This window comes from Homo sapiens, chromosome 8 (assembly GCF_000001405.40).
Source record: "Homo sapiens chromosome 8, GRCh38.p14 Primary Assembly".
Taxonomy (NCBI): domain Eukaryota; kingdom Metazoa; phylum Chordata; class Mammalia; order Primates; family Hominidae; genus Homo; species Homo sapiens.
The window spans coordinates 27576881-27589289 of record NC_000008.11 but is presented as its reverse complement, the minus strand read 5'-3'; the positions used below and the strand labels follow the sequence as shown (position 1 = coordinate 27589289).

The 12409-nt window shown below is 49.4% G+C and overlaps 1 pseudogene, besides 1 other annotated feature; it reads right to left on the bottom strand.

The window, feature by feature from the left end:
• Positions 217–11679, bottom strand: GULOP (gulonolactone (L-) oxidase, pseudogene; annotated as a pseudogene).
• Positions 784–1078: an enhancer, noted in NCBI's record as "tiled region #1589; K562 Activating non-DNase unmatched - State 20:ReprD". NCBI's record gives its function as "activates a minimal TATA promoter and a strong SV40 promoter by Sharpr-MPRA in K562 cells {active_cell/tissue: K562}" and the evidence as "EXISTENCE:reporter gene assay evidence [ECO:0000049][PMID:27701403]".

Sequence of the window (12409 nt, the reverse complement as noted above, 5' to 3'; positions counted from 1 at the left end):
TGTTGAAGATGTAAACAGGGATGTGGGTGCTGGGCCGCCTCCAGCTGCAGGGATTGGGAGGATAAAGGGGGCCCCTATCCAGGACCTAGTTCATCACTGTGGGGTTGGCAGGGGACATCTGCTCCCCCATCCTTGGGCCAATGGGATGCTGGGGCTCCACCCTCATCAAGGGAGGCCTGGGGAGAGCATGAGGGTAGCTTGTTTTCTGCTCTGACTTCAGTAGAACACCTTCTCCAAATACAAATTTAGGAACATCCCAGTGGGTTCTAGCTTTTCTCAGATGGCACAGAACTTTGGGAAGGCAGGATGCATTTTCTCAAAGTTCTTTGAGGTACAGTGTGGCACCTGTAGAAGCAACCAGGTGCAACGGGCCTGGTCCCAGGGCTGGTATGTCAGCAGGGCTGCAAACCAGGCACACCTGTGTCCAGGAGCCTCCATGTGTGACACTAGTGCCCTGAGACAAACATGTGTGCACCACACACACACACAATGTAGAGATCCCAATAGAATGGAGGAGCGTTTTAGACAGTAAAGAAGGGGGATGTTAAAATGCAGCACTGACCTCCCTATTTCTATTGCAATCAGCAGTGTGATACATAGTGGAGGAGGCTCTGGCCCTATTTCCACTGCTAATTAATATGTAAGTCCTGTCCCCTCTGAGAGACCTTCACTTTCTTATCTGTTCAATGGACTCATGATGCCTTATCCTGCTCATTGGGTTTCTATGATAATCAAATAGACTGAAAGATGAGAAATTTCTCTGAAAACTCTGAGTGCATCGCAGTCACTGCGCTGTTGGAACAAGAACCCAAGAGAGGGTAGAAGGGTAGTTGGGGCTCAGCCCTGCATCTCCTGGGTCAGCCCCGGGGGTGGCAGAGGCACAGGGAAGAGCAGTGCCCTCTGCTGGACATGGTAGTGCATGGTGCACCGCAGCTGCCCCGCCGCTCCGCGAGGCTCTCACCCGCAGCCCTACCTGGGTGCAGTGGGGATGGCTCCCCCTCCCCCACCCTGCATTCTTCATGATCAACTTATTTTGTTGAAAAAGGGTCTTGCTCTTTCTCCCAGGCTGGAGTGCAGTGGCACAATCATGGCTCACTGCAGCCTTGACCTCCTGGGCTTGAGCGATCCACCTCAGCCTCCTGAGTATCTGAGACTACAGGTGCAAGCCACCATGCCCAGCTAGAGACAGGGTCTCACTATGTTGCCCAGGCTGGTCTCGAACTCCTGGGCTCAAGCAATGCTTCTGCCTTAGCCTTCCCAGGTGCTGGGATTATAGGTGTGAGCCATGGTGCCCAGCCAAGATCAACTTCTTAAATGACCCAGGTATATAAGCCTCATCTGGGAGACCACTGCCTAACCAACTGGGAAGAGATAACACAGTCAAGGGCATGGGCATAGCACAGGGGCAGGCAGGGCTGGCTGATGGGCAAATGAGTCCATGACGGGCACCTGGCATTGATTATGATGGTCTCTTCTGCTGAACTTCAATCTGGCCCCAGAATCCTTCTCAACACAGCATTCCAGGCTGTCAGGATCACTGACTAGAGGAGGTACATGAGATAGAGTACATTTGTCATTCCAGCATATCAGCTTCATAAATGGTAGCTATTCCTATTATCTATGAATTCATACAATTTTTATATTAACACAATACGGGCTGGAAATGGTATGTGCAGAAAGGGTCTATGGAGCGGAAGAGCTATAGGAACTCAGAAGAGAGAGAGACTGTCCCCAGCTGCCAGGATCAGCGAAGTTCCCCTAGAGAAGGAGACATTAGAAGTGACATTGAGGCCAGGCATGGTGGCTCACGCCGGTAATCCTAGCACTTTGGGAGGCTGAGGTGGGCGGATTGCCTGAGCTCAGGAGTTCGAAACCAGCCTGGGCAACATGGCAAAACCCCGCCTCTGCTAAAAATACAAAAAAATGAGCTGGGTGTGGTGGTGCACTCCCGTAATCTCAGCCCTCCTCCATAGGGAGGCTGAGGCAGGAGAATCGCTTGAACCCAGGAGGCAGAGGTTGCAGTGAGCCGAGATCTCACTACTGCACTCCAGCCTGGGCGACAAAGTGAGACTGTCTCAAAAGAGAAAAAGAAGAGACATAGAAAGATTGGAGAAGGAGGAGGTCCGTTCAACTCTGAGGGCCGGCTCCCAGGCCCATCTCCACCTCCCAGTGAGCTGTCACCTGTACAGGTTGATGTTCAGGTAGCGGCTGTCCCACTGGAAGCAGGGGCTCAGTAGGATGTCATCCTCCAGGTGAAGCGTACCCCCACCAGGTAGTGGGACACCACCTCAGGGTGGGCCTCCAGCACGGCCTTCAGCTCCAGCAGGGCCTCCGTGGTCTTCTTTCTGCACTCAGCCCAGGGGGACAGAATCTAGAACTCAGGGTGGGAAGGGACCGCTGGGTGCCCTCCCTCAAGACTCTGCACAGGTTCCCAGCCTCAGAAGGCCTCAGCTGCCCTTGGACATGGCTGTGACAGGGGCTCCTAGCTCTTCCAAGGCCCCTTCCTCATAGCAGCGGAGCCTGTGGAGGTGTCTCCCTGAAGATCTACCTGTTGCTCATCTGGCCCCCGGGGCCCCATGGAATCCGGGGCTCCCTTCAGATCTCTGGCCACAATTGTCTCATATCCCTAGGCGTCCTCCTCTTCAGAGGAGAGTCCCTCTGGTTCTAATCCTCCTTCTTCCTAATATTCCCACCTGAAGATCTGGAGGGCCTCACCCTTGAACACAGTGACAGAGGCAACCCCTGAGAGTCCCAGGCACCAGCCTCTCCTCCCCCGGAGAAAGAGACAAGGAGAGGAGAATTTAGAGAGAAAGCCACAGGGAACCAGGCTCCAGGCCTATCCTTAGGTCTTTGCTGGGGGGTCCCCTCCAACACAGAGTACCCGGACCCTAGCACGCTGGGTGGGCTCTTCTGGGTGGGGAGAGGGATGGGTTCTGTGTCTATTTTCCTCATGATGCTGACAGGTGTGGTCCCAGGAGCACTGCGAGAGGACTCAGAGCCCGTGGCCACCCATGAAGAGTGGGCAGGACTCGGAGCCTGGTTTGCAAATGAGACCTGGTGCTCTGCCTGCTAGGGTCACATTGAGGACCGCCTGAGCTGACCCAGTAAAGTGGGTCCACAGGGAGGGATGGTTAAGGCAGCAGGTTCTGACTCCCTGCAGTCCGGCCACAGGGCAGAGCCCCCTGGGGATGGCCCAGTGCTGGACATGCTGCTTGAAGTGGCACACGTGGGTGAAGATCTTGGGGCTGAGGTTGCTGTTCTCCTGGCAGGCAAACAGGAGTCAGAAACAAAAAGCCATTGATCCAGCCCACAAGGCACTGCAAGAAGATGCTGCAGGGGACAGGGTGGAAGAGGGTGTGGGGACAGGGTGGAAGAGGGTGTGGGGCCAGGCAGGGTGGGGATGGGGGACACAGTCATCGTGATACCTGACATTGATTGGGTGCAGGCTCTGAGCAGAGTTCTTTACAAACCAGGGCCTCATTCTCAGCAGACTGTGCCCCTTAGCTCGCCTTTGCAGTTTCCCTGTAGCTTGGGAGTCCCTCCGGGCCATTGCTGGAGGTCATTCTTTCAGTGGCTGCGTGGAAGTCCAGGCTGGGGAAGGCCACAGGCTATTCCACCATTTTTCTCTCGGTGTCTATGTGGGATGTTTTCAGTGTCGTGCCACCACACGCTGCACTATAGCGAATGTCTTAGTCTCAAAGCCTTTCCAGATTGTTGGAGCAAAGGGAAAGTAGAGTTTTAACTTCAGCTGCTTCTTGCCAGATTAATTTCCTTACAGACTGTGCTAATTCACCTCCTTCCACACCTTGGGAAGCCTTGATTGTTGTAAGGGTTGAGAGCCTGGACTTCTGGGTGTCAGCCAGACCTGGCTGGGATCAATGGGGTTGAGTGGCCAATGGGGACCAGTGTTCTGGGTTGGGGTCTCTGGTCACAGATTCTTATCCTTAGAAATGATGGCAGAACTGCCCCAGTAATTGCAAAGGGAGGGCTCCACGCTTCTTGGGCCAGGAAGGAACTCACCAAGGCACGACCATCCAAATCTACACCTACACACACACACTAAAGCTCTTCTCCCCTTACCCCCTTTATAAAAGAACTAAATGTTCATTATAGATATTTTGAAAAGCCAAGACCATAAAGTCAGCATTCTCAATGCCAGTGCAATGTCAGACCTAGCATTTGTAGCTGCATTTTTGATGGATGGAGTCACTAGGGCATCGATCCCAGCCAGGTCTGGCTGAAGCCCAGAAGTCCAGGCTCTCGCACTATTGTACATGCACTTGGGGAACAGGGACATGGGAAACATGGCGAGGATCATCCAGGGAAGTGAACAGTTCACGGCTGTGTCCTTGAAAATGTGACATCTTCTGCATATTAAGGGCGGAGAGCTGAGGCCGTGAACAGAGAGGCTAAAAGGCAGCCTCAGAGAAGGCCAGCCTCAGATCTGCAGCCAAGAACTCTAGGGGCAGGGGACAGAGGGGACAAAGTCCAGTGGCTTGTTGTGGGGATGGTTGAGTGGAGGGACGATTGGGAGGAGGCCCGTCCAGCCATCCCATTCATGAACTCAGCTCCTGTCTGCTCTGGGCCCTGGAGGAGTCCAGAGGGACAAAGGCCAGCTCAGGCCTTCTGAGTGGAGCTGGTGCTAATCCCCTCCCATCGCAGCTCCTGCCTCTCCTGGAGCCACTGACGACCTTGCATAATAGGGCTGGGACTGGAGCTGGTGGCCTCTGTGGCTTGGTTAACGTGTGAATGCGCTGCTGCCTCTACTGGGCCTGCATCGCCAGTGCCCAGCCCCTCCTCTGGATTCACTGGAGAGGTCGTTCGCCCCCTCCCACCCCACAAGCCTGTCCCACTGTCCCATCCTTGCCATCTCACTGTGGGCCATAAACCAGATGCCCAGGGCACCTCCTGTGGGGTTTCAGATGACACCAGAGGTGGGGGTCTTGTATGGAGAATGAAGAATCTTTGTTTATCATAGTGAGAAGGGAGGGCACATCTGGTGAGCACCCTTCATGCGGACTAGACGCTGAATCCTCCCAACCCCAATTGTTGCTACCAGCTTTACTTTATATATGGGCAAACCACAGCTCAGAGAGGCAGAGCGATTTACCTAGAGTCACACAGCAGGTAAGTGAGGGGCGAGGATCAGAGGCTAAGTCCACTTGAATCCACAGCCTGGGCATCTTCCACTGTCCCAAGGAGCCAGAGTTTCTGGGCATCAGGTCTGGGTATATGCAGAGTACACACTGGGGAGGGGCACTTGCCTCTTTCTAGGCAGATGCTCTGTGGTGTCTTGGGGACCAGCCTGGCCATGGCAGAGCTTCCACAGGCCCCAGGGCACAGGGTTATTCTAACCACAGGCGCTGAGTGTGTCTCTGGCCCTGGCTCACTCCCCAGGGACAGTTTGCTGAAGCTGCTAAGCCGGAGAGCCACGTGGGCTGAGCTCAGAGGCCCTGGAGCTCTCTTGGAGCTTCTGGCTGTTCGCCGGAAGGTGGCAGGTGTGATTTAGAGTTTAATTTATTGGGAAGCTCCCTGGCTCAGCTCCGGCTCTACAGACACAGGCACATAAAGCTGTCAGCTGTGTTGGAGCTGAGGCCACAGAGAGAAAGCCTGCGGGGCCCTTTCCATTCTCACCCCAAATCTGTAACCCAGACAGAGCAAGGCCTTTGGGCTGGTCTCCCTCACTGCTCTTTGGCCCTTCCCTGCCCAGATCCAATACGTGGCTTCTTGTGTTTCACTTCCCAGCACCTTTCAGGCAGTTAGTCTTCCTCATGGTTTGTTTAGTGGGGTCCCTCTAGTGCCACCTGTAGTCCCCCTCCCCTGGGGAGAGGCCGATCCTCTGGAGGAAAGAGGCCGACTTGTCCCTTGATTCCTGGTTCAGACCTAAAGCGGAACAATCTTGGCCACACCCAGAAATGCCATGAACTCCAGTGGGTCCCCCAGGCTCTGCTGCTGGTGTGGACTCTGTCGGGCTGCCTGGCTTGGGAGAAAACACTACAGCCCAGCCTAGGGCTCAGCTGGAGCCAGTGAGTCCTATGATCCCATCCTGGCTGCTCATCACAGACCCTCTGGAGATACCTCTCTGAGCCTCAGTTTCCTCATCTGTAAAGTAAGGGCAATGTGTCACTTTCTAGGGATGCTGCAAAAATTAAAAGGAATGACACACCCAGTGCAGGCCTGGCATACAAAGAACACGTGGTACATTTAAACCTTTAGCTGCTGGCTGGGTTCAGTAGCTCACGTCTGGAATCCCAGCACTCCGGGAGGCTGAAGCGGGAGGATCGCCTGAAGCCAGGAGTTCAAGATCAGCCTGGGCAACAAAGACCTTGTCTCTACTAAGAAAATAAATAAATAAATAACAAAAAATTAGCCAGGCATGGTGGCACGCGCCTGTGGTCCCAGCTACACGGGGGAGGCCAAGATGGAAGGATCGCTTGAGCCCAGGAGTTCAAGGCTGCAGTGAGCTATGACTGCACCACTACACTGCAGCCTGGGTGACAGAGTGAGACCCTTTAAAAATAACAACATTAAAAGAGAAAAATAAACCCTTTACTGCTTCTGATGGCTGCTGCCCACTGGTAGAGTGTTGGGGACAGGGGCGGGGACAAGAACAGGGGTTAGTGAATGTTTGCAGCCTGAGTTGATCTCGTGAAAAGGAAACTACAACATGTGTTCTTTTCCACCAGGCTCGGAGCCTCAGGGCTGGACTGGGCTTCTGCTTCAGGGGAGCACTGGTTGGCAGTATCTGGGTCTCAGTAGAGGAGAAAGGAAAAGGGGCTCTACTCTGGCTGGAGAATTCCCCTAGATCAGAGCCCAGACCTTGGCCTTTGGCCTATCCCCTTTGATTCCACATTTCTTTGAGGCTGTAGCAACATGAAGAAGCACAGTATCATGTAGTAGTAGATCAGGCCCCTGGGGGAGGGTCTATTTCATCACAAGGGTGCAGGTCCATTGTCATCTACAGGAGCTTCTTAGTTGGATTTATGCGAAAAAATATTGGAGGACCTTTGGGTTAAATTCATGTTGGCCAAGTAGCATCTGGGACTGAACCTGAAGGCAGAGGCCTCCCAAAGCAGGGCTGTGGTGTCTCTGAAGATGACACAACTGCATACCATTGCCTCCCACCCCCAACGGAACCTTCTCTTGCTTTGTCACACCCTGGCTTTCTAAATTCACAGGGTGGCACTTGTGACAATGCCACAAAGAAGTGGTTGTCTGTATATTTTTCTAATCATCATTCTAAATTCCAGAGCTAAGATTCAACCTGTTGAGCTGACACTGACTATTCAGTGAAATCTGGAAGCGCCTCCTAAGTTGAGTACCCCTGGAGTCTTCCCCATTGCACATCCATTTCCTCCATGGGTCCCAGACATTTCACCTGTTTATGCTTCCATTTCTCTGAGCGGTCCTTTGGTGCCAGGCCTTGTGCTGGGTGCTTGCAATACCAAGATGAAGGAGGATACCTCACTGACCTTGAGGAGCTGGAAGGAAAGGCCTAGAACTTTGGTGCAGCGGGTGGCTTTGTGGTTTACAGCAAAGGTGGGAAACAGAAGAGAGATAACCATATGACTTGAGAGGCGCCAAGAAGTTGGGAAGTTTGAGCTGGGCATTTTGGGATAACTGAGAATTCACCAGGACAACAATGGAAGGCCTTCCAGGCAGAAGGAAACACAGCAGCAAATGTTGATTTTGTCCCAAGGCTCGCAGGGCAGGAGGGGAAATGGATGGATAGGGTGTGGGCTGAGATTGACTCACTCCCTGATGTAAAAACTAACTGCAAAACTACAGGAATCAAGATGCTGGAGTAGTGTGCTAAAGACTGACATATAGGTCAATGGAATGAAATTAGGAGTCCAGAAATACACGCTTACATTTGTGGCCATTGATTTTTGACAAGGGTAGCAAGACAAATAAATGAGGAAAGAAGTCTTTTCAACAAAGGTGCTGGGACAACTGGATATTCACATGCAAAAGAATGAAATTGGACTCCTACCTCACACCATGTACAATAAGAGCAATGTAAGAACTAAAACTATTAATCTCTTAGAAGAAAACACAAGTGCGAATCTTCATGATCTTGGGTTGGGCAATGGTTTCTGAGAATTGATACCCAAAGCACAAGAGACAAAAGAAAAAGAGAATAAGACTTCATCAAAATTAAATTTTGTTGTGCTTCAAAGGACACCATCAAGAAAGTGAAAAGCCAGCTCACTGAATGGGAGAAAATATTTGCAACTCCTATCTCTGATAAGGGATTGGTATCCAGAGTGTATAAAGAACTCTTACAACTCAGTAATAAAAAGACAAACCAACATTTTAAATGGGCAAAAAATCTGAATGGACATTTTTTCCCCCAAGGAGACTGACAAATGGCCAATAAACTCATGAAGAAATGCTCATCATCATTAGTCATTAGGGGAATTCTAATCAAAACCACAATGAGATACCACTTCACACTCATTAGGATGGCTTAAAAAAAAAAAGACAGCAATAAGTGTAGTGAGGTTGAGGAGAAACTGGAACCCTCATACATTGCTAGTGGGGTTGCAAAGTGGTACAGCCCCTTTAGAAAACTGTCTGGCAGTTTCTCAAAATGTTAAGCATAGTTACCATGTGACCTAGCAATTCCACTTCTAGGTACCTACCCAAAGAATTGAAAACATATGCCCACATACAAACTTATTTGTGAATGTTCACAGCAGCATTATTCAGTATTGCCAAAAAGTAGAAGCAACCCAAATGTCCATCAATTGCTGAATGAATAAACAAAATGTGAATACTATTCAGCCATTAACAGGCATGAAATATTCACACAAGCTACAACATGATGAATCTTGAAGACGTTATGCAAAGCAAAAAAACCAGTCACAAAAGGCAACATATTGCCTAATTCTATTTTTATGAAATATACAGAACAGACAAATCCATAGAGACAGAAACCAGATTAGCAGTTGCCAGGGGCTAGGAGGATGGGGAATGAATGCTAATGGGCTAGGGCTTTTTTTTTTTGAAGTGATGTAAATGTTCTAAAATTAGATTGCAGAAATGGTTGTACAACACTGTGAATATAGGGAGAACCACTGAATTGTACATTTACAAGGGTGAACATAAGGTATGCAAATTATACCTTAATAAAGCATCTGTTTGCCTTTAGTTAGGAGATGACGTGATCTGATCTGTCTTTCGGAATGATTACCTTGGCTGCTCGGTGGAGAGTGCAGGAGTGGAGGTGGGAGACCGGGAAAGGAGCCTCCCTGTGGGAGGCCACAGGGAGCCAAGAGAGAACAGAGCCAGTGTGCAGCAGAGATGAAAAATGCATGCATTTCAGATCCACGTGGCAGATGGGCTGGATCCGACTTGAGAACTATTCAATTGCAGGTGTGCTCCTGCACAGCGGACCTGGCACTGCAGGGTCCTATTAGAGCTTTCCTCCACCAGAGGAGACACAGGGGAGGCAAGAGCTGGGAGAAATGGGAGAAATGTAAATGGCTACACTTGTAGCAAAGCATAGATGATACCCCCCAAGCACCAGGTGCTGTGCTAAGAGCTCCATGTGATCTCACTGAGTTCTTGCAACCCTATGAGATTGATACTATTATGATTTGTTTCACAGAGAAGGGAACTTAGGCACGGGGAGGTTGTATAGCTTGCCCCAGTCCTCCCAGGTGGTAGAGCAGGAACCTGAAGCCAGGGAGTTGGACTGGCTGGAAAACTGCTGGGTATGAGAGAGGGCAGAGTGGGGTTAGGACTTGGCTCTCCATGGCGGAAGGTTCTGAGATGCCCAGGGTGGGAGAATGTAGGCTCAGCCCTCAGAGATGGATCTTCTCTTACAACACAAGGACTCACACAGTAGTTCCCAGAGCTGCAGCAAACACTTGCCAGACAGGACTGGACCGCGGTGGTTAGAGAATTTGTGGGAAACTGAGAGGTGAGGGCCAGGCAGGGATGTAAATGCAAGGTAAAGTTCCAGCAATGGGTTGAGAGCAACCAAGATGCTTCTGAAAGTCAACAGGGTGGGGGACTTGCTCTAGCAGATTTTAAGCCTTCTTATACATTTACAGTCTGCCTTCTGTATCTGCGGGTCCATGGGTTCAACCAATCACAGAGAAAACATTCAGAAAAAATGCCACAAATGTCCAAAAAGCAGAGCTTAAATTCACCAAGCACCAAGTACTACATTGAAGCCATGCATGTGAAGTGATGTGTAGGTATTGTGTTGGCACCCTGAGTCATCTAGAGATGATTTAAAGTATATGGGAGTGCCGGGCACAGTGGCTCACACCTGTAATCCCAGCACTTTGGAGGCCGAGGCAGGCAGATCACGAGGTCAGGAGATCGAGACCATCCTGGCTAACACGGTGAAACCCCATCTCTACTAAAAATACAAAAAATTAGCTGGGGGTGGTGGCGGGCACCTGTAGTCCCAGCTACTCGGGAGGCTGAGGAAGGAGAATGGTGTGAACCTGGGAGGTGGAGCTGGCAGTGAGCTGAGACCGCGCCACTGCACTCCAGCTTGGGTGACAGAGCGAGACTCAATTTCAAAAAACAAAACAAAACAAAACAAAACAAACAAACAAACAAAAAAACTGTTAAACAGTGTCAGGACAATAGGTTAGCCACTTGGAAAAACTGAAATTGTTTGCTACTTTAAATTACAGGCATACATCAACTCCAGGGGTATTAAGGACTTACATGAAAAGGCACAATTAAAACTTTAGGGAAAAATACAATATTTTATGACCTTAGGTTAGAGAAGAATTTCTCAATAAGACTCCAAATTTCCAAAGATAAAATATTAGATGGGTAGATTTGACTGTATTAAAATCAAATACATCTGCACACCAAAAGACCATAAAGATGAAAGACGAAACACAAACAGAAAGAAGATGTTGTAATACATACAACCAACAAAGGACTAGTATTCCAAATATATGTAAATAAAACCCTGTAAAACAGTAAGAATGAGAAAAACAACCCAATTTTTAAAAGGGCAAAATACATAAATAGACATTGCACAGAGGAGGAAACTTGAATGATCAGTAAACTGAAAAGATGTGATACCTTGTTCATCACCAGGGAGATAAGAATGAAAAACCAGAATGAGATATTGTTTAATACACATCAGATGAAAATCTGAAAGTCTGACAACTCCAATCTTGACAAGTGTGGGAAGCTTGTAGTGTTGGGGATTAATTTGTTGTAAACACTTTGGAAAACAACTTGGTTTCTGATAAAACTGAAGATGCTCCTGATTGACGGCCCAAGAATGCCCTCTGAGTATGTCCTTGAGACAGAGAATGTGCCATACAGTTCCCAAGAATGCTCACAGCGACATTATATGTAATGGCAAAAAGAAAAAAAAATCCTGAAGCATCCCCAATGTCCATCAACAAGAGTATGTACAAATACACCATGGTAAATATATACAGTGAAAAATAAATAATTAGAACTGTACAGTCTTCCCTCTCAGCAACATGGATAAAACTCACTCACAAAGCCAAACTAACACATTTCTTATTTGGGGATTCATAAAACTAGAATACAAACAGGTGCAGGCAGGAGCTGCAGCTGCCTTGCTGGTGTGGTCCTGGTGGATGGCACTGACATTCTCGCTGTGTGGGAACCAGAGGAAGCAGAAGTCCTCAGATTTCTTCCAATGCTGTCCAGGCTATGGAGGAACTGACCTCAGCAGGAGGAAAAGGGAGAGGCTACATTGGCCATAGGAAGGTGATGCGAGTAATGGAAGCCAGGGCATGGGTGTGCCTCAGTTTCTTCTTCATCAAAAGGAAATACTTAAAGATGTCATAACATTGCAAATAGCATGGAATGAGTTTTATAAGATGCTGGGCATTCAAATGGTCCACTTACATGATGACTTCCCCGAGTAGTTTAGAGGACAGAAGTGATTTCTTCTTTGTCCTGGCTTGAGCAAGTACTAGCTGTGTGAGTTTGGGCAAGTTATCTAATGTCTCTGGGCCTCAAGTGCCTCATCTGTAAAATGGGGTTAATAACAGTATCCACGTCAGGATTGTTATGGAGAGTAAATGAGCTAAGGCCTAGAAGGTGTTTAAAATGGTCAGGCACGTGGCAAGCAATATATAGGCATCAGCTACTGCTTCTAGTGCTATTATTCTTTTTCTTTAAAAGGGCTGTCTTGCTCTGTCACCCAGGCTGGAGTGCAGTGGCACGATCTTAGCTCACTGCAGCTTCAAACTCCTAGGCTCCTTCAGGGCTCAAGCAATCCTCCTGCCCCAGCCTCCTGAGTAGCTGGAACTATAGGTGCACTCCACCGGGCCCAGATATTTTTATTTTTATTTTGTAGAGATGGGGTCTCACTATGCTGCCCAGGCTGGTCTCAAACCCCTGGGCTCAAGTGATCCTCCCACCTCTGCCTCCCCAAATGCTGGGA